At 36.9% G+C, this 22,298-nt stretch overlaps 1 protein-coding gene and 1 long non-coding RNA gene across 9 annotated transcripts in view, besides 1 other annotated feature; one reads left to right on the top strand and one right to left on the bottom strand.

Moving 5' to 3' along the window:
• The window catches only part of MACROD2 (mono-ADP ribosylhydrolase 2), a 2,057,682-nt gene that overhangs the window by 1,966,401 nt on the left and 68,983 nt on the right, over nucleotides 1-22,298 (top strand). For 6 of the 8 annotated variants that reach the window (NM_001351661.2, NM_001351663.2, NM_080676.6 and 3 more), the window contains one exon: nucleotides 5,637-5,714. In NM_001351661.2, the coding sequence (NP_001338590.1) occupies nucleotides 5,637-5,714 (78 nt within the window). Of the gene's footprint in view, nucleotides 1-5,636; nucleotides 5,715-15,537; nucleotides 15,619-22,298 lie in introns of all 8 variants that reach the window. The other 2 variants (NM_001351664.2, XM_024451834.2) reach the window with 1 other exon arrangement.
• The window catches only part of LOC613266 (uncharacterized), a 93,550-nt gene that overhangs the window by 69,584 nt on the left and 1,668 nt on the right, over nucleotides 1-22,298 (bottom strand). The window lies entirely within an intron of this gene.
• Nucleotides 18,267-18,436: an enhancer, noted in NCBI's record as "active region_17558". NCBI's record gives its function as "activates an Ori minimal core promoter by ATAC-STARR-seq in GM12878 lymphoblastoid cells {active_cell/tissue: GM12878}" and the evidence as "EXISTENCE:reporter gene assay evidence [ECO:0000049][PMID:35858748]".

The raw sequence follows: 22,298 nt of genomic DNA on the forward strand, positions 1-22,298 counted from the left end.
AAGGATACTGAAATAACCAAGTCACAGACAACTGAAAATAAGAGCAGATTTGCCTTTGTTTACATTGCCAAATGGGAAAAATTAACTTGATTGAAAGGGTAATTAAGCATTTCTTTTTCCATCATGGTCCAAACCAGCTTCATATTCCAGCTGTTCCGTTTTACATTATGATGATTCTTTGTTGAGTCGCTGACTTAAAGACAGCCAGTGTGGCACTGGTGCACACCTTACTGCTTCTCCCACTATCAACCTTTATTTTGTAAGTACACAGTTAAAATCTCAGTGAGAACGGTCCAACTCAGGTAGGCGGATGATGAAGGAAGAGTGGGAACATTTACAAAGAAGTGTTGCTGGAACAAAGAGATAATTTGAGCAAATCAGATTAGCTTTGTAAGGTATCTTAGAGAGATTATCCAGCTCAACAGCTGTAGTTCCTAGGTGCAGAAACTGAGATTATGTAAAGTGCCTGAATTTCCCTAGAGTTATGAAGCTTGTAGCTCTAAATTCTGAATCACAACCCTATGACTGCATCTCTCATTTGCTAGTATTTTCAATAACAACTTGCAGAAGAATATCACCTTCAATGTAAGAATGAGCTATTTCACACCAGTTTATTGTTTGAAATTTGTGTTTTCTAATAGAAATCAAATTAATTGTGCATTATGGTAGTTTTCCCAGCCATGTCTCAAAGACTGTTAGCACACAGGGTGATGATCCCTAATTTGAAAATCCAAAATCTGAAGCCCTTCTGGGCCCAAGCATTTCAGATAAGGAACATCAACCTGTCCCTGAATTCCATATCTCTGGGAATGATTGGCCATCTTTTAATGGAGGTTAATGAGACCGTAATGAAGACAAATGACCAACTATAGCTCATTTGGGTCTCCTGATGCCCTGAGCAATGTCCTGTCTGTGGGCCCTGTTACCTTTCAGGTAAATATAGTTCAGCCTTATTTATCCAGCTTCACTGGGACCAAGCACAGTTCAGATCATCAGCATCAGAATAGTCTGGGAATGTGTTGCAGGATACTTTTTTCCTATATAAAAGAGTAGCCGCTGCAAAGTTTCAGTAAGAACATTATCTGCTGGAGAGACTCTAGTTTATTTAGATAAGCACCTGGTTCAGATGGAGGAAAAATTACTTTGTCCTAATTGCTCCACATAATAAGCCAGAGATTCTATAGAGCAGGCCAGGATAAATGTTTTGCATAGTATAATCAAATCAGTTAACGAGAATCAAAGAAAATCCAGGTGATGGTGTTTCTGTGCAATTTTTGCATCAAGCTCTGGTACTCATGTGTAGACATTTACGCATTACAGAGAAAGACTATTTTATGTGTAGGTTTTTGTGTATAGCAGTTTTTTTTTGGTTCAGACCCATTAGAAGTTCTACGCCAAAATGACCTGCTGTCATCACTCTGAATAATAGTCAGGGGCTTCCTCTCTTACTCGGTGCGTTTTTTAGACCACCTAGCTTGAATAGTTATCTTCAAAGACAGTGAATCATGCAGTTAGTTTTATACTTTATATTCACCTCTAATTTTGGTGCAACATGGTTTTTTGCCAGTTGGATTGTCCCTCTCATTTATTTAACACATCTCTATATTTGCTGGCTATTTCCTCAAATCAAATCTACCTTAAGAATTCAAGATTTGCCATCACTGATTAATTCATGGAGCAGGAATCAAGCTCAGTAGCTAATTCCTCAAAACTGGTCTGGAAAATCTTTTGTAAAATGGCAATGTCATCTTTCACCACAGCTTAAATCCATACATGTAATATTCTGTGTAGATACGTGTAATTGACTGCATTAAAAGTGACCTACTTTTTGGAATTTCTGTTTTATGAAGTTTTTCATTTTATTTTAATCTATTTTAAATATTCCTTTAAACCTTTTCAACTTTCTGAGTGAGGGCTTTTTCTTTTTTAATTTATGAAAGTGTTTCTTTTTTATTCTTGTTAATCTTAAAAGCACATCTATCTACAGCCCTTTGGCTTGAATATTTGATTTAATATTTGCATTTGAAAAAATTCTTTAAATATGACATTGACCTTAAAGATTTTGAAAGTCAGAAGCTACATATAAATTTAATTCCAGTTCTCTGTTATTAAAATAACATTGACTGAATCTCAGAATTAGGTGATAACTGTTTTACATGTTTTTGAACATTACCAAATGATAATTTTTAGAATTAAGTAAAATGCAAATCCAAGGTGCTGCAAGAGTTGTATATGCAACTACATTTTTCAGGGTAGTTTATAGAACTTACATGGAAATAATAAGTTATTTTAGTGACCATATACACTGGTGTCTTCGTCCAGGCTCCTACAACAAAATACCATTAACTGGGTGGCTTATAAGCAAAAGCAATTTATTTCTCACAGTTCTGGGGGCTGGGAAATCAAAGATCAAGGCACCAGCAGATTCGGTATCTGGTGAGAACTCACTTTCTGGTTCCTTCTAACTGTGTCCTCATTTGGTGGAAAGGGTAAGGGGACTCTCTGGGACCTTTTTAAATCTTTTTATAAGGGTACTAATCTCATTCATGAAGCCTCCACCTTTATGATCCGATCACCTTCCTAAGGCCCCACCCCCTAGTGCCATCACCTTAGCAGTTAGACTTTCAGCTTAGGAATTTTAGGGGGACACAAATATTCAGACCATGAATATATGCATTTTCTTTCTCCATCATTATGAGTAAGGATTTCACGTACATATTCAATGCAGCTTTCATCACCCCCTAAGCAGAAAAGCTGCACTGCCACTTCAAACCTACAACTAAATATAATGTAATGAGATCCATGATTGAAAACATACAGAATCAAATCTAGGCCTGCTAAAGGTTATGAGACTAGAAATTCAGAGAGCCCTATTAATAAAGTAACTTTCGTGGAAACCATCTTCCATAGGTACCTGCTTATTTGTGAATATTGTCATGAGGTTATATAGTACTTTTCCTTCTACTTTATTGATGTGTGTGGAGGTAGAACCATTTCTGGAGCAAAGTTTCACATACGTGACAGTGAACTTGTGGGTTTGGTGGTGGGTCGTGCTGATATGACATCCTTGTCATCACATAAAGACATGTATATTTGTGTGCACACATCGAATATACTGCAATGGCATGTTTCTAAGATGCACATTCTTTCATATATTTTATTTCTAAAGTCAGGACATGTCTTAGAATTGATAATGTGTTATAGTGCATCTGGCAGCATTTTCTTCTAATACTACATAAAATAATAGTGCAAAGAACAACTGATGGTATCTTGGACGCAATGAAATGCATTATGTAGAAACATATCAGAAGGTGCATTAATAATGTTAAAGCAACTCCCCAAGAATATTGAAATTACAAAGATAACTTATTTGCTAAAGACACAGATTTTGGTGATAAAACAGATACAGTCTGGTGAGTAATTTTTCAAATGCTTTTCGCCCATCTTATGTGACTCATTAGATCATAAACTTGTAAACTCGATGTAAATCACCATTGAGGAGACGTTTCTTATGTAATATTTGGGCAGAATCATAATGTTTATGTAACATTATGATTAACAACAGTGAATTATTATTCAGTGTAAATGAATAAATTTTAACTAAACATAAAATCTTGGATAATTCTATAACATTAATGTTGAGAGAAATTAATGTGGTACAAGACTAAATATCAAATAATATAATTTTTAATAAATAACTAAATCTAAAACACTTTCAAATTTAAAATTTAGCCTGATCTATATACCTTTTTAAATCATTGTATATTTTTAGTGTTAATGTGAGAAAAATATTCAAAATTTTTTTTTCAATTGACATCTTAGCTCCAAAATTAAAAGAGCATATTTTAATGGGAGCTGGTTTAAAACAATTTGACATAAGTTAGATAACAGTTTGGCAAATGTGTCTGTGCTCAGTTTTGCTTCCAAATTTGGACTTTTAGACTTATTGTCAGCCTCAGAAAGAAATAAGAAGCTGTGCAGATAATTAAACATTTGCCTTGGGGGAATTATTTGTAGTTAATTAAAACCACACACTTCGGGTATATATTGATACTTGCTTCACTGGTTATTAAATTTGAATCATATGTTAACTACCCAGGTTTCTCACTTGTCCATCAAATGTTGCTTGTGGCAGGTTCAAGAAACAAACTTTCTCATAATATTCCAAGCCATATTGTTTAAAGCTATCTCCTAATTTTGAGAGGAAATGAATGGAGAGAAACAGAGGGAGAAATGAAAAGGAAACAAACAAAGAATAGTTTATTTTAGACTCCATCTGATTCAGCTCTGTTGGGGAGTTAAAACTCAACCAAGTGACACAAATTCAGTAGAGAACACATTTGTAAGTAATCAAGGTGTTGCTGTACCACCCCCAGCTTTCTCCATGGTCACACGCTTACAAGATTAGCTTATGACTTTTAGATATCTTTGGATTGCTTTCCTTTCAGCAGCATGAAAAATATCTACTAGACTATAAGCTCCATGAGGGCAGAGATTTGGTGTTTTGTTTCCTGTTGGCTCCCCAACATCAAGTACAGTGTCTGGGCAGGTGTGATGGCTCACACCTATAATCCCAGCACTTTGGGGGTATGAGGCAGGAGGATCCTTTGAGGCCAGGAGTTCAAGACCAGTTTGGGCATAATTACAAAATCCTGCCTATACAAAAAATTAGAAAACTAAGTGGGCATGGTGGCCTGTGCCTATGGTCCTAGCTACTACAGAGGCCAGAACAGGAGGATCGCTTGAGCCCAGGAGTTTGAGGTTGCAGCGAGCTACGGTTGCAGCACTGCATCCAGCCTGGGTAACAGAGCGAGAATCTGTCTAAAAAAGTGTCTGGCATATACTTGGCCATTATTAAATGTTTGGAAAATGAATGAGACCTACTTGCTGTCTTCCTGTTGATCCATTCACAGGATCATTCCAGTACTTTTTAAAGAGCCTCCAGGGAGGCCTAAACATTTAGCAAGGAGCCCTTTGTAGTTTTGCAATAGCCCATAGTCACAGAATCCTTTTAGCCATGTTAAACATGGATATGTTTAACCATATCCTATAACAAAAAAAGATAAGTGTACAACGATTCCATGTTTAAATGTGCTAAGCGAGGGAGGGAATGACCTTGCAGAGACCAGAAGGTCTGCATTCCCTCTATGCTATTGTTCTACTGTTATGGTTCCCGAGGAAGATGAACTTAATTACCACTGGATTTCAAGGTTCTGTATCTGACTTTTTCAAGGACTCAAGACTCCCATATGTGAGCAACCACAGTAATGGAAGCATTAAGAACATTAAAATTAGATAGTCCTTTAATCTTCTTCATTTTGCCTTCCTTTTATGTCCTTTCCCATAGTTCTAAGACTTTCCCTGATGCAAAAAGCCTGCTTTTATTTTCTTATTTGTTGCAAAAAGACATCCCAGCTAGCTACATCTCTACCTTTGTAAGCTTTGAGCAGATATCTCACATAGTATGGGGGGAAAAAAAGCGCCTATTTATTGGCAAACATATGTATTTGAGTGGTTATTTTTAAAACGAATAAATTCTATTTTTCCTCAAACATAAATCTATCATGTTAGTGCTGAAAGCTGCTCTGTTTCCAAGTTAAAAATGCTGACCAAAGGTTTTGCTTGTTTGTTGTTAGATTTTGCAAAGGATGAAAATATTACAAAAGGCGGTGAAGTGACAGATCATTCTGTGCGTGACCAAGATCATCCCGATGGTAGGTTGTGAAATCCTTTATTAGATTTTCTTTTCTTCTGCTGGGAAACAGAAAAAAAAAAAAAAAAAAAACCCACAGACTTGAATTTTTCTGGAAAAATATTGAATTCCAATAACACTTTATTAGCACTGAATACCAGTTGATCAGTAGCTGCCATCTTTAGATGACACTTTTGCTTTCCAGAATCCTCATCACTCATTACTTTTGTGCCAGGCTGGCTTCATTTATTTTGTTTATTGTTACTTGTCTGAATTCTATAAGCACTGGGTTTGCAAACACTGAGATGAATGTGTTATAACAATGAGAATAAATATTTTCATTGAAAAACATGGAGAATAAATGCAGGGGATTAAATCCACATAGTCTTGGGATATCAAGAAGGGAGTACATAACAAACAGAAATGAAACAATCTTTAGAAAAATAACAGAAAATAATTTCCTAATGTAAACCAGTTCTTCCACCCAAAACATGACAGTACACATTATATTTATAGGCAAAGGAAAAACTCAGAACAGACATCTGCATAGCTTCATGGAATTTCTGAAGATAAATGATAAAGAAAGGCTTTTCAAGTGTAGTCAAAATCAGGTAGTGATTAAAACCACCAGAGTCAGATTAGCCTTAACCTTCTTCTTCCACAACCCTAAAAGCTAGAAGAAAATGGAGTCACAGTTTCCAGAGCTCAAAAGGGCACAGTTTCCATAGTTAATGAAGTTATTATTTATACATGAAATCAGAGCAATATTTTCTCAGGAATACAAAGATTAAGAAAACATGCCACCCAGGTACCCTTTCTGAATAAACTAACAGAAGGCCTGAGCAAAAACAATAATATAGAAAGGAAGGCAAAACTCAAGACTGAGGAAGGCACATTCGAAAGGGACTATATGGTAAGAGACTAATTAAATGTACAAAAATGTTGAAATAATTGTTCTATCAAATAATTTTGAAATAACCCTTCATAATTAGGATGAAAATGTCTTACCTAAATATATGTCTTTAACTTTGAAATTTATAGTATGTGTTGTTTGAAAATGAGAAAAAAGACAGACTAGCTTTCAATAATGAAAGTCTAAATAATTTAGATCATTTCTACTACCGAAGACAACTAGACAAAAAATACATATATTTATATATTATAAACATATAATATTATATATTATGCGTATATATATATATATATATATATATATATATATATATATATACACACATATACATATGGAGAGAGAGAGAGAGACTGTTTAAAGGCATCAGTGAGCTAATAAGATACTGAAGAACTGTAAAGCTGAGCTCTGGGAGGCAATGAATCTCCAGATATGTGAGCCCAGAATTTGAAGCTCTTTTTACCTTAGGGCATTTGCTGATTCTACAGAAGGTGTCTGGAGCTCCATTGCTGAAAAAGGCAATGACCCCGATAAACTCTCTGTTTTGGGGTTGAAACCCCAAAGATACGTAACCTAGCAGGAAGAATGAACGAGCAGTAGATTGGCGGTGGACTGCTTCCCAGCTTCAAATCATCTCAATCCTCACATTAGGTTAAGACCAGTCCAGATTGCTAGTCCCCTCAGGCATCTAAGAAAAGCAAATGTAAAATATTTACTAGGAGTGAAAAAGAGTGTTACAGGCTTCAAATCATTTATATAAATAATTTGCAAAATATAATGTCCAGCACACACATAAAAAATACCCCAAAAAATGAGGGAAAAAAGGTAACATGAAAAACAAAACAATAAGGCAAGAGAAGTTCATATGAGCTGAAAATATTAGTTATGAACACAAAGTATTAGATAAATATGTTGAGTATGTATAAGGAGATAAAGATAAGATTGGAAATTTTAGCCGAGAACTAGAAGTTCAAAACCAATTTTACAATGAAAGAGTCTAGAAGTAAATGATGCTATAACTGAAATTAAGAATTCAATGAATGAATTTATGACTGAACATCATATTAGACACAGCCGAAAGAAGATTTGTGAACTAGAAGTTAGGTCAGAATATATCCAAAATTACAGATAGTAGGGGAAGAAAGGAAGGCACACACTGAAGAAAGAGGAAAAGATATTAAGGATCTTATGATAAAGTCTATCACAAGTACAGTTGGAGTCCCAGAAAGGAAGGAGAGAGACAATTGGGCAGAAGCAATAGTTGAAGAAATGTGGTGAGAAATTTCCCACACTGATGAAGGACATCATGTTCCAAAAGCCCTTTGAACTCTAAGCAGAATAAATATAAATAAATAAATAAATCCACAACCAGGCCCATCATAGTAAATAAATAAATAATAGAAATAAATATAAATATTATAAATAATATAAATAAATCCACAACATGACCCATCATAGTAAAATTCCTGAAAACCAAAGATAAACAAAACATCTAAAAAGCTATCTTCAAGCACTTGGACTGAGAGCTGACTTTTCAATATGTATAATGAAAATAAGAAGATAATACAACAAAATAGCTGTGAACCAAGAATTCTAAACCCAGGGGGAAAAGTATGTTTCAAGAATTCAAGGTTAATTAAGGACATTTTAGACCAAAAAGAAAGGCACAGTTCATCACCAGAGAATTCTGGTGTTCTGCAAGTAGAAAGCTATTAATCCCAGATAGAAGGCCAAAGATAAAGGAAGGAATTAAGGGCAAGGTAAATGGTAGTTACTGGATAAGTCTAGATAAATATTGATGGTATAAATCAATACTGACAATGATGTCTTGTGGAGTTAAGATATGCATAACATTAAAATATACCACAATAATGGCATTTATTGGAATGAGGTAAATTAATTTTAAGTGTTCTAATGTTTTTCCATTAAGATGAAGAGTAAAAGTACCAATTAGTGTTGAAACTTTGTAAGTCTCAGTGGCCCCTGAGAGTCAGGAAATGAGGTGAGCCCTGTGATTGCCCAGCTGGCTGCCTGGAGAGTTTCCAGGCTGTGGTACAGAGAGGAGGAACCCAGGGAGAGCCCAGCAAACTCTCCACGTTGAGGAGACAGAGGTGAGAGTCCTGGGAGGCCAAGGTAGCTAACGTTTGCAAGGTAGCATTCTACAGAGAAGAGAGCTCCACAAACGGAATGCTCAGAGGTCTACAGAAGGAACTCCTCAGTCTTCAACTGGGTAGGAACACTAGAAAAGATCTGAGAGAGTGATAACTGGAGCTTACATAGGGCTAGAAGAAGTGCCTGTTCCCACCAGCAAGACTGGAAAGCCTCAACATTCATAAAGAACTCTGAAGGTTTTTGCCTTAGTAGCAGAGCAAAACAGGCAATAGACTAAATGCTCCTCATGTCCTCCCCAGTAGAGCTTAAAAGTGAGACTTGAAAGGATCAGAATATTTCTGAGTAACTTAACTGCATTTTAGAATGAAGCTCAAAAATATTTATAAAAATTATAAATATATCTCATACCCAACAAAGTAAAATCAACAAAATTACCAGGCATGCAAAGAATTATTGCAAGACAACTCTCCATGCATCTTTCATATTTCTGCATGTTTTGTGAGCAGAGGCACTGCTTGTATCTTTGAAAAGGATCATGTTTCTCTTCAAATTAAAGAGCATACATACTTATTGTGCATTTTAAAAGGTTCAGAGAATCTTGAGATTCTCTGATATGGTTTGGCTGTGTCCCCACCCAAATCTCATCTTGAATTGTAGCTCCCATAATCCCCACGTGTTGTGGGAGGGACCCTGTAGGAGGTAATTGAATCACAGGGGTGGGCGTTCCCATGCTGTTCTCATGATAGTGAAGAAGTCTCATGAGATCTGATCGTTTTATAAAGGGGAGTTTCCCTGCACACACTCTCTTGCCTGCCACCATGTAAGACATGCGGTTGCACCTCCCTTGCCTTCTGCTGTGATTATGAGGCCTCCCTAGCCATGTGGAACTGTGAGTCCATTAAACCTCTTTTTCTTTATAAATTACCTAGTCTTGGGTATTTCTTCATAGCAGCATGAAAATAGACTAATACATTCTCTAAGTTCAAGATTCCTCCTCTATGATATCACCCACTGAGTGTGCAGGAATCAGCTGGTCCACCTATGGCACCATGTGGGAATCAGGACTCAGAGAACAGACACTAATACTCTGGTTACTGTGATTTCTCTGAATAATAAACTGTCCTTTATCTTTGACCCAGAAGTCTTTGTCTTCTGTCAGCATCCATGGAACTGTGGCTCAAGCAGGGTAAAATCTCAGAGTCTTCATAGTTCTTGACAGGAAGCAGGAAAGTATGATGCACAGGAAAAGAAAAGTTGATAAATGGAACTCAACCCATAAATGATGCAGATGATAGAATTAATATGAAAGGGCATGTTAAAAGTTGTTATAACTCTGTTCCACATATTTACAAAATTAAAATTAGGACTGACCATGTTAATTCGAGACAAAGAAGTTATAGAAAGACCCAAATTGAATTTCAAGGAATTCAAAACACAGTGCCTGAATTAAAAATTATACTTGATGAGAACAGTGGCAGATTAGATACTATAGAAGAAAAGATTAATGAACTTGAAGATGAAGCAATAGAAGCTATCCAAATGAAAACAGAATAAGTGACTGAGGGGAAAAAAAAAGAGCATCCATGAGCTATGAGACATCTTGAAGGGTGGTTCTAATTACAATATAAATGAATGTGAATCTCTGAGGGTGAATGTGGGAGAAAGGGACAGAAAAAATATTTGAAGTAAAAGTGATTAAAATGTTTCAATGTGATGAAATTATCAACCCACATATGCAAGAAGTTCTATGACCCCAAAGCATAAGAAACATAATGAAAATTACACCTAAGTACATCATAATCAATTTATTCAACACCAGCAATAAAGAGAAAAATCACAAAAACAAGCAGAGGAAAATGACAAGTTACATATAGAAGACAAAGATAAAGATAAATCAGGCCAGGCACAGTGGCTTACGCCAGTAATCCCAGCACTTTGGAAGGCTGAGTTGGGCAGATCACTTGAGGTCAGGAGTTCGAGACCAGCCTGGCCAACATGGTGAAACCCCATCTCTACTAAAAATACAAAAATTAGCAAGGCACGGTGGTGGGCACCTGTAATCCCAGCTACTTGGGAGGCTGAGTCAGGAGAATCACTTGAATCCAGGAGGCAGAGGTTGCAATGAGCCTCCTGAGCTGAGACAGCACCATTGCACTCCAGCCTGAGTGACAGAGCAAGACTCTGTCAAAAAAGAAAAAAAAAAGATAAATAAAAGGTCCCAATGGAAACTAGAAACTACAATGACATGCAAAAACATGATGAATCTCACAAATGTAATATTAGAGAAGGTATGAAAGCATATATTATTTATTATATAATCTCATATATCAAGTTCAAAAAGCAGGAAAAAAATTAACATTTAGAAAGGCTTGTTTAGGTGATAAAATGATAAAGAAGACCTAGGTACTGATCACTGTGACAGTCAGGGTTTTGATTAAACTTTGGTGATTGGAGAGGAGATACTGCCGGGAGGGGGCCATGAGAGGGCTGCCTGGCTGGATGGTTATCATAAAAATATATAGTTTCTGTATTTGCATTTGGTTATTTAATTGATATCTCTATATTTTGTCTGTGTTTCTATATATTTGTCGCAATTTTATAAAATTGTCTAAAAGAGGAAGAAAGAAAAAGAGGAAATGAGGAAGGGAATGAAGAAAGGAGGAAAGAAAAGAAGCATCAGTGGCAGAGGTTGTAAAACTAGATTATAGCTAGAAGAAGGAAGAGTTGCACATTAGCCTGACTCCATAAATACCACTCAAAAACTAAAAATCCCAGTGTTATGGATTCTGACAATATGTTACCTTTCAGAATATCTCTGAAAAATTGTACAATAATCACAAATAGAATTAAATAATAATAAAATTAAAAGAAGATACCTTACTTTCTAAATTTCCCAAAGAGATCACATGACAGTATACTCAGCAATGCAAATAATAACAATAACTAGCAGTGTAACAAAAGCCTCATGTATCAAATAAGATGACAGAAACACAAGCAAATGCTTATAACAGTAAGTGTAATTAGGTTACTTTAATAAGTGTAAAAGCCACTCAGATTGACTTAAACTCAATAAAAAGGTAAAGCTTTAAAAGTATAAAGTTAGAAAAATGTATATTTGAGAAAGGAGCATCAAAAGAAAACATGAAGAACTACTTCTATTTGAACCAATCTATTCGGTTAGAAGTCTAGCAAAAAAATCTCCAGTGACAAAGAGTTGGTTATTTGATATTGATAACAATTTAAATTCCTGATGAAATATAATAGTGATGGGGCTTTTTGTGTCAGATGATATGGCAAGATACAATACAAATAAAAACCTGTTGAAAATGCAATGAGGAGTTCCCAGATACAATATTATTAGTCAATGACAGAACAAATAGACTACGGATGACATGGACTGTTTGAAAAATGTACTTAGCAGGGTAGTCCTTGCTATAGGAATAGACAGGCTGATCAATGAAACAGATGAAAGAGTTCAGAAACAGACCCAAGTAGATCTGGGATTTCAGTACATATTCTGGCCGACATTTCAAAGACAGATGACTCAATCAATGGCATTAAAACAACTAGTTGGCCATTTGGGAAAATAAACTGAATCCCAACCTCATTCCTTTCACCAACATAAATTCCAGAAGGAGCAGAGATGAAACATAGAAATGAAACTATAAAAATACTAGAGTAAAAGAACCAAAGGTTATTATTCAGCACTAAAAAGAAATGAGCTATCAAACCATGAAAAGACATGTAGGAAACTTAAATGCATATTACTAAGTGCAAAAAGCCAATGTGAAAAGGCTACATATTGTATGAATCCAATTATATGACATTCTGGAAAGGCAAAACCATGGACACAATGAAAAGATCAGTGGTGGCCAGGAGTTGTGGGGGTGGGGAGGGATGAATAGGAGGAGTACAGAGGATCTTTAGGGCATTGAAAATACTCTGTATAATGCAGTAATGGTAGATACATTTCATTATACATTGCCAAAACCCATAGAATGTACAGTTCCAAGAGTGAACCTTAATGGAAGTTATAGACTTCAGTAGGAGTTACATGGGATATCTCTGTACCATCCTCTCAATTTTGCTGTAAACCTAAAACCACTCTACAAAAATAGTATTTTTAAAAAACAACAAAATAAAACAATTACAGGCTGTTTTTTTAACTGTGAGCACATACTTGCAGACACAGGATGGTATGCATATGTTATGAAATGCAGGCATACACATATCTGTAATGTGTGTGCATATGTCAGTATATTGCATAAAAGAGGAAAATAACAAAATTGTAATAGATAAATGTTGACATAATGAGTAAAGGTTATAGTGAAATTAAAAATGAAAACTAGTGGGAAAATATTCTCACCCAAATGACAACAAAAGAGCTAATTTTTTTATTTGAAAAAAAAGTGTGTGTGAACCAGTAAGAAAAAACATAAACAATCTAAGAGCAAAACGGACAAAAGACTCCATTATAATTCACAAAAGAAGATATACAGTCATTATAAATATGAAGAGATGCCCTATCTCTTTATTATATAAATAAATGCAAATAAAATAGTATCTTCTCTTTTTGAACTAGATAAGATTAAGTGGAGTTGAAAGTACACAAAATTAGTGGAAATAGGGTTTCCAAACACGCTCGCATAATATTCGTGGGAGACTGAAAGGCATAACCTCCTCATCAGCAATTTTGGGAAAACCTAATAAAAGGTAGAATGTTCATACTTTGATGGAAAAATTATGCCTCAGAGATTTATCCTAAACTAACACCCACCCAGAGTATGGAGATATTTATTTACTGAAATGTTCATTGCAATATGATGTTTAATGGCAAAAAAAAAGTGTAAACACCTGAAAGCTCACCCATAACGTGGAATATTATGTATCTTTTAAAAACAAGATTTCCAAATTAATTGTAATGACAGAGGATGATGCTTACTAAAATATGAAATAAAAAAGCAGGACTCAAAGTGTAAATATGTTTTGATCCCAGGATATATTTACATATTTTTGCATATGTCTGCATCTGTGTGTGTATACACACATACAAGAGAAATATGACAACTCACAATATTAAAACTGGCTATCCCTTAGTTATAAAATTATCCACAATTCTCAATGCTTATATGCATTTTTAGCGTATCCATAAGGAAATTGCATTTCTTTTGTAACTACAAGGCAAAAAATAATTTTTAAAAATAACTTACAATAGGAAAGTAAGTTTTATTGGCTCTAAGAGAAAACCAAGGATGTCTAGAAGATAATCAAATTCACACTAATCTAGGCTTAACTTTTGTTCTTAATCTGGGATATTTTTAGAAATTTTTATAAAAGTACAGTTTTGAATATTAGCAGCAATCAACTTTCAAGTTTAACAAAAAGACACAATTTACATGATTTCTTCAACACAAGCATCAAAGAAACAGTCTTTGTTCTTAAGAAAACTTGAGCATCTAATAATCTGCAAGCAATAAAATTATATTGTTGTTGCTATTGTTCAGAAACAGTCCATTTACAAAGTGAGTTCAGGTTTATCCCCTAGAAATGCTTCATTCTAGACTGATGTCCCCAGACCAATTTTTATGCAAATTAATTAAAGCTAAAGCATTAGCTTGAGCCAAACTTAATTACCAAGGCTCCAAGAAACAATCATGTGATCTATTTCTAAAGAAAAGCGAATGGATTTTTGGATTATCTGTTCTAATGGTCCCCTCCCATAAGTATGGCTGATTGAGTTCACTGTATGAAAAATATATACATAAACTGTGGAATTCTTTGTGTTCTTTTGTTTCCTCAGCCAGGAGGGATTAGGGCAGAGGACAGTGGGGAGAATTCAACTAGTCCGAATGTGAAGAGGGAAACATAAAGCTTGCCCCCATGGGGCCAAGAAAGCAGGATGGAATGTGAAAGGTCTGCATGCACTGAGGAGAAAGGCAGATGGGCTGGAAGCCCTGGGAGGAGTCATTAACACACAGCAGGCCTGGGTGCGGTGCAAGGCAGTCAGGCATACCTTGTCTTTGTGCAATACGCCAAAGCCTGCCTCGTTTTCAAAGCTGGACACCTTGTTTTGTTTCTTCCCCCATTTTTAATTAACTTTATTTAAGAAAAATGAGAAAAAAAATTCTATTTCAAGAAAAGATTGTCAAAATATGTAAAGCACACAGGTGAAACAGATCAAGAGTAGAGACAGGTTTAGAGGGCAAGGAAGAGAAATATTCCAAGAGATATTTGAAATAGCACTTTATCCTCAAAGTGAAGGGTCAAGCCTTACAAGTCACAGAAACTCCCTGGTGTTCATCAACAGACTCAGGTTGCCACCTCAAGCAGGCCCACCTTTTCAGCAGTGCCCCAGGCTCTATTAAATGGGGACCTGCTCATTCTTGATTGAATTCCTCTGAAAATTTATCAAGTGGAGCACTGGGACCAGGGGACACACAGGAATACAGATTTTGGCCTTTTCCCCTCTCTGGATGCTCTACTCTTTCCCTTCATGATATAGACGAAGCCAGATCACAAATAGTACGTTAAAGGTCCTTGCAATGACCTGGTGCGATGATTAGGTTCAATGGCCAGTTCCCTATAGCAACAGTGATAGAGAATGAAGCTCACTCAGTAAACAAACAGTGAAGGTTCCCTCTCAGTATCATCCACCCAATAAACAAACGTCAATGTGACTGGAAACTTCATCTGAAGACATAGCTATGAACCTAGGAGATTATCTCGTTCCACAGCCTTTTTTCTTTTCAATAGATGATGAAATTAAAGGTCAAAGAGGTTGTGATTTGCCTAAAACATCCAGTTATCTTTATTCCCATTCCAGGGTTCTCTGCAACAAATATAATGTGTGGAGTGCTTAGTAGCATACAAGACTTTACCTTGTTGTTAAAGGATGCAAGAGAAAGTAAGTTATAGTCCTTAATAACTATTTACAGACCTTGATGAGTACTCTAATACAGGTCCAATTAAATAGACATTGATTGATGACTTCTTATTAAATGGGTGCTGGGCAGGAAAATATGAATAAAACAAAATTTCTCTCTTAATCTGGTAAGAGAGACAAAGACAGACACAACTACATCACGGTGTGATCAGGATCTGGATGGTAATTAGGAAAATTCATGTGTATATATCTAAAGAGTCATAAAGATATACACTTAAGGTTTGTACATTTTACTATATGCAAGTAGATCTCAATTTTAAAAGCTAAAAAGCAAAATAAAGACATTTCCAGGCAAAACAAAAAGAAAAGAGGGATTGTAGTCAGGTAGAGCTGGTTATGATTCTTGAAAGCAGAACTGAGATCACAGCACTTACTTTCCAGAGGTAATGTGATGATTAGAGATTACGTGTGAAGTATCTAGGGACAGTCTGGCATTTTTATGGGATCAATAATTTGCAGATTCACTTACATCTTCTAGGCCAGTGCTTCTCAAGGTTTAACTTGCATGCAAATCACATGGACATCTTGTTATACAATGCAGGCTCTGATTCTGTAGGTCTGTGATGAGGCCTGAAATTCTGCATTTTTGAAAAGCTCCCAGGTAATTCCAGTGTTGCTTGTCCATGGACCATACTTTTGTTAGGGACAAGCTGCCCCAGGACCACCCCCCTCCCCAAAAACAATGCAGCTGACCCTTACTCCGAATATTCTGCAGCTGCATTCCTGGACCCTTATCTAGGCACTACAGCAAGGTCGCCAGACTTGCTTACAGCCCTCCGGGTGGCATGGGGGAGGTCATGAGAAACGTGGATAAACCTAAGTTACACCCTCTTGTAAATTCCTATATTGTAAGCTGGTCACGAGATGATATGTGGTAAAGTTAACCGACAAAGAACCCCAGGGTCTCTCTCCACCATATAAACCCCTCATTTTGTAAGTTCAGGGCTGCCTCCGCTGACTGTGGTGGAGCAGCCCAGCAGGCTAATAAACTTACTCGCCTGACCTTGGGTCTCTCTCTCTCTCTCTCTCTCTCTCTCTCTCTCGTTCTTTCTCTCAGCTAACCTTACAACTTTGAGTGGCAATGGGGAAGAATGAGGATGAATGGGTTTTTTCAAAAGTGGAAAGGTCTTGATCAAGTTCAAATTTTAAAAGGCCTTTCTGCTATCAAATCACAAAATAGAATATAGGAGAAGAAAATGAAAGATCCAAGAGACAGATGATATATCCCTAAATGAGGAAAGAAGGCAGGAGACTAGAAAGTGGGAAAACCGAAATATTTTGCAGAACCATAAAGATGGCATTTCATTAAACGTCAGGAGTGATGGAAGAAAATAATCAAAAACAGCTTGAGGTTTTTATATTCAATGATCAAATAGATAAACATGCTTTAGTTTTAATTATTTTATTGGATCCTTTTGATTAAAATTGAGCTCAGGAGGAGTGGATATCACACAAAAAACATAATTTTTCCCTTATCCAGGTCATGCTAGCAGAGAATGAATCAAGGGGAAGTAGTATCATGGGCAGTTTAAAAATAATTGTATCAGAGAGGAAACTGTAAGATGAGGGGTTATATAAGTCAGCTTTGCTGCAGTAACAAATAACCCCAACAGTTTCACTGGGGGCTCAACAACAAAGGCTGGTTGTGTCTCTACTTAGCCCGGGTTGGCTGTGTTCCACATGCTTTCCATTCAGGATCTAGACGAAGGAACATGGTTTATTAGGAGCAAAAGAGCTGCAGGCAACATACAATGGATCTTAAGGCTTCTGCTTGGTTGCAGTACACATGATGTCTGTTCCAGTGCCATTTCTAAACAAGTCACATGAACAGGCCTGTGTCAATGTGGTGGGAACATACACTTGTCCCACAAGGGCTGCTGCGTGTCACATTGTCACAGACAGGGAAATATAATCCTCTTTTAGGACGAAGTAGAGACAAGTTGAAACCATAATGCCACCACAGGGATGGACTCAGGCAAAGAGTCCAAGCTCCTCTGAATCTGCTTTGCACCTATAACCAACCCTAGCTCTAGAATGTTTTTTAAAAAATTCCATAGTTAAGTATCCTCAGCACAAAATCTTTCATTAGCCCGAGGCAAAATGGCCAGATTTCAATTTCCTCTCTTAATGAGCACTTAAATGTTTTAAATGCTACAGGGGAGGGTAGGAGGAGAAGCCAAGGGGTGTGGAAGAAAAACCATTACTAGATAATCAACCTAAAAGTAATCAAGAGTTGGCTGAATTCTCTCCTGACCTTTGCTGTATTTAGTATGTGTCCTAAGAGAATGGTTGAGCTGTAGCAGGACGAGCCGCAGACAAAACTTCTCAGACACCAAGTTGTAGAAGGAAGGGCTTTATTCAGCTGGGAGCATCGACAAGCTACTGCCTTAAAATCCGAGCTCCCCGAATGCACAATTTCTGTCCCTTTTAAGGGCTCACAACACTAAAGATTTCACATGAAAGGGTCGTGATTGATTTGAGCAAGCAGGGGGTACGTGGCAGGGGCTGCATGCACCGGTGGTCAGAGTGAAACAGAACAGGGCAGAGAGTTTCACAATAGTCTTCTATACAATGTCTGGAATCTATGAATAACATCGGTTTCTAAGTTATGAGTTGATTTTTAACTACTGGGTTTAGGCCAGGCAGGCCCAGGCCTGGTTTCGGGCCTGGTGCAGGGCTGCCTGTCTTTGATTTTACTTCCTTGTTTTTTTCTTAAAACAGGTACTGAGTATAAAACAATATAAAGCGATATGGGAGGGTCTCTCTCTTCCCTCATTTCCCCCTTTTGAGACTCTCACTTTTTCTTAGTGGGAGTTCTCACTCTTATTTTTGCTACTTATTTTTTTTGTTCAATAGATTGATAGTGATTCATATAGTACACTTGTGCTGAAGCATTTTGGTGAACTAAGGTAGCGATGAAGATTTTTTATCATTTAAAGAAGCACAGGTAGCAAACAAGGGAGCAGTAAGCAGGTTTTTATTACTATTATAACTCCTATTATAAGAGTTTTAAGTCCTCTTAGTGCTGGGAACCACCTTCTAAACATGGCTTTAGGGTTGAATCTGTGCTACACTTGTACAGGCACATGTGTCAGTTTTGTCATATTTTTAACTATGTCTTTAACTACTTGCCTTTGATTATCTATGTGTAGACAGTAATTAGTAAGGTTAAATTTCTTATAGACTTCTCTTTTAGCTGCTAGCAAGTACTTGAGAGCTAATCCATTTTGATAGATAGCATTTCTTATCTGAGTTTTTTGCCGGGCCAGAATAGTAAAGGCTTGACCGGTTTTATTAGTGATGATTTCTAAAACAGCTTGCAACCGTATGACTCTGTTGAGCAGGTAAATGGGGGTCCAGTATTCCTATGAGCCATCTTGTGTCTAAGTGGCAGGCCTATAGTATTGTATAATTTTGTTTTTAGTGGGCCATTTATCATCTTTTTAATTACTTATGGCTATGCTTCGTTTTCCGCAGGAAGCATAGACAGGGAATGCCTAGGAGTTCGCCTGTTTTTATGGGCAGTAAAAAGAAAGATGGTTTAATGGTGCCAATAACACAACTACCTGTCCACTGGTCAGGCAGCTTAGCGTAGGCTCTATGTCTACATATCCAGTATAACCTGGTAGGGTCAGGCTAGTCCTGGTGGAATTCTGGGTGGGCCTAGACAGTCTGCAACCTTGGAAATTTACTGAATAGATCTCTTTCTGTGTAATTGGAACTCCACCATGTAACTGTTTTTTGCGGTATCGTTATACAGTTTTTGCTTTAGACAACTAAGTCATCTTACAGAATGAGTGAATTCTTTTCCTGTTTTTGTTGTTGTTGTTGTTGTTGTTTAGCTATGCAATAATTGAGACTTTTAGAACTTAGAAATGATCAGGGTGATTCTTTTGGGCTGAGAATCCATCAGGAACTGGGTCTGTAGGCACTAATTCTCGGGCTTCTTATGGCCATTGATCTCTTATTACAGTTTTTCTACAAACATAACATGAAGTGATATTTAGAGACTGGGTTACATGCCCAGCTAATTGCAAAAAACAAATTTTTAGTCTTTCCTGGAATCTTAGGTACTGGCACATTTAGTTCATCCTAGAAAGTCTGAAATACTGGTTCTGGAGAGCGTCTTTGAACCTCCTTTCTTATTAGGCTGTTTATGCTAGGGTCTAGTCTTTTTCTATCAATGCCTAATGATACATATTGTTTTTTTAATTTTATTTTGGGTCTGAGGGGTTTGTGATGACTAATTCTAAAGGGTTACAGTTCTCACTCGTGCAGGAGGGGCTGACTTTTCTTTTTTGAAGCCTAACAGGATCTTTTTAATCTTCTGTTCAAGTAGCCTAAATGACACAAGACCAGTATTGACACATTTTACATAAATATGATTCTTGACAGACATACTTTTTTTTTTTGCTGTGTAATTTTTTTTCCCTCATCAGAGAACCGCATCTTATTCTATGCTGCTTACTATCAATAGCAGCACAAGCGTCAAATTTTAAGGTTACATTTTTGGGGACCTCTCTTTCTTCTGTTCTAGCTATTACTTTACTTGTGTCACCTAGAAAAGGACTAGTCCTTAATCTTACTTTAAAGACTGTGATCATGGGGGGTTCAGAGGGGTCATAGCACACATCGGGCAGGTCACTTCCTGGATTACATACTTTGTGCTGAGTGTTATTGTACAAACAAGTTCTTTTTGGAGTTCCTAGGCATTTATAATAACTATAAAATAATAGGACTGTAGCAATCTTTTGTCTCACTTCAGTGATTTGATGTATATACTGGGAACAGTTCTCAGTCTGAGGAAGGTCAGTTGAAGTCTTTACTGTACAAGTCTAAATTTTAAGGAAAATGAGTCCTGCAATGAGTTTCTTCATGCTTCGGCCATGTGTGGACCAGTCAGCTTCTGAGTGTGACTGGAGCGGGGCTTGTCGTCTTTTTCAGAGTCACTTTGCAGGGGTGGGTGAAGCTGCTCCTATCCACGTACAGCTCCTAGTCTACTGATGTTTAAGGGTGGTCTTGGAGGTTGGGCCTACTAGAGTAAACTGAGTCTAACACCTCTACACAGTTTATGTTAAACTGGGCTCTCTGATACCAGGAGTAAGGTGGCGGGGTTAGGGTGTTGCAAACTTCAATGGTTATGTAGGGATTTTTACAGAGCAAGATTTGGTATCTAGTTAGTCTAGCATTCATTAGCTAATGGTGTCCTTTGGTATTTATTAAAATCACCACAGCATGGCAGGACTTTATGTTTAGGTTTTGCCTAAGAGTTAGCTTATCTGCTTCTTGTGCTAACAGGGCCGTTGCTACCAGGGCGCTTGGACGTGGGGGCCATTTGGAAACCTCGTCTAGTTGTTTTGAGAGATAGGCCACTGGCCTTGGCCAGGGCCTTACAGTCTGGGTTAAAACTTCAACTGCCATTTTTTCTCTTTCTGACATATAGAGTGTAAAGAGTTTTGTCAGGTCAGGTAGCCTCAGGGCTGGGGCCAACATGAGTTTTTCTTTTTAACTCATGAAAAGCTCGTTGCTGTTGGTTGTAATAGATGTAGTTTATCTAATCTACATTTTTATTGACTGTCATCTACTAAAATATTGACTTAAATCCTGTAACTATTTGATTTCAAGCTTTAAATTGATCTGGTATTCCTTGTGGGGCTCCAATTGCATCTAAATAGATGTGAGAGTTGAAAGACCTATAAGGGGCTTCTCTGGCTTTACGATGTCTTATTTTTTGTTTTTCCTCTGGTTGATGAAATGCCAGGGTGAAAGGGATAGCCAAATGGACTAAAGCACAAGTGCCACTCTAGTTATTCAGCAGAGTGCCCAGTAAAGGTCCACCACAATACCACCACACATCTGCTTGGGGATGAACAACGGCTGACTGATTGATAAGCTCTTGAAAATTCTTAAGCTTACTGCATCCCTTCAGGTCTCCAAGGAATGCTAAGTCTCCTCCTTGCTGTGAGAGACACAAAGTGAACTTAGTGTTGGGAGACAGAAGCTGGATGGACCTCAGGTGCTGATCTGCAGGGACTTTGGGATATAGCAGAGAGAGCTTGGCATGATTTATTACTCCAGGCTGTAGAATCTCAGAAAAGAGCTACCACGCAGCCTACGCCTGGTCGACTGGAGGACCACCTTAGTGGAAGGGGGACAATTAGGGCCTCTGGCCTGCCATGTGCACAATCATAACAATTGCTTTTGTTTAATGTGCAGATGGAATATTTGATCCATTTCAACCAGGCATTTGCATTCTTGGTATGCTGTCTTAATTGCCAAAGTTTGTTTTAAGTCTTTAACTTCTATGATCCTTTAGTAAAATGAATGTTTCCTTTAACACCTATTTTTATTAGTTTTTAGACTAAAGAAAGCTAAATACTATTTTATATTTAATAATGTTTCTTGTATGATTTTTATAGTAGATAAGTTAAATTTTACTTTTATATTAGTGTGTTATTAATGTTAAACTTAATTTTAATAAAACCTTGTAGACATATTTATCTAATTTTTTATGTTTGACCATAAGGTAAGATTTTATAGACTTTTTTTAACTTTTTATAATTTTTGTTAAAGAGCAGGTTGATGCTTTAAGAAAAACCTGTTGCATTTTTACTTTAATGTCCAGTTCACAGAAAAACTGG

The sequence above is a fragment of the Homo sapiens genome, chromosome 20, assembly GCF_000001405.40.
Source record: "Homo sapiens chromosome 20, GRCh38.p14 Primary Assembly".
NCBI classification, from domain to species: domain Eukaryota; kingdom Metazoa; phylum Chordata; class Mammalia; order Primates; family Hominidae; genus Homo; species Homo sapiens.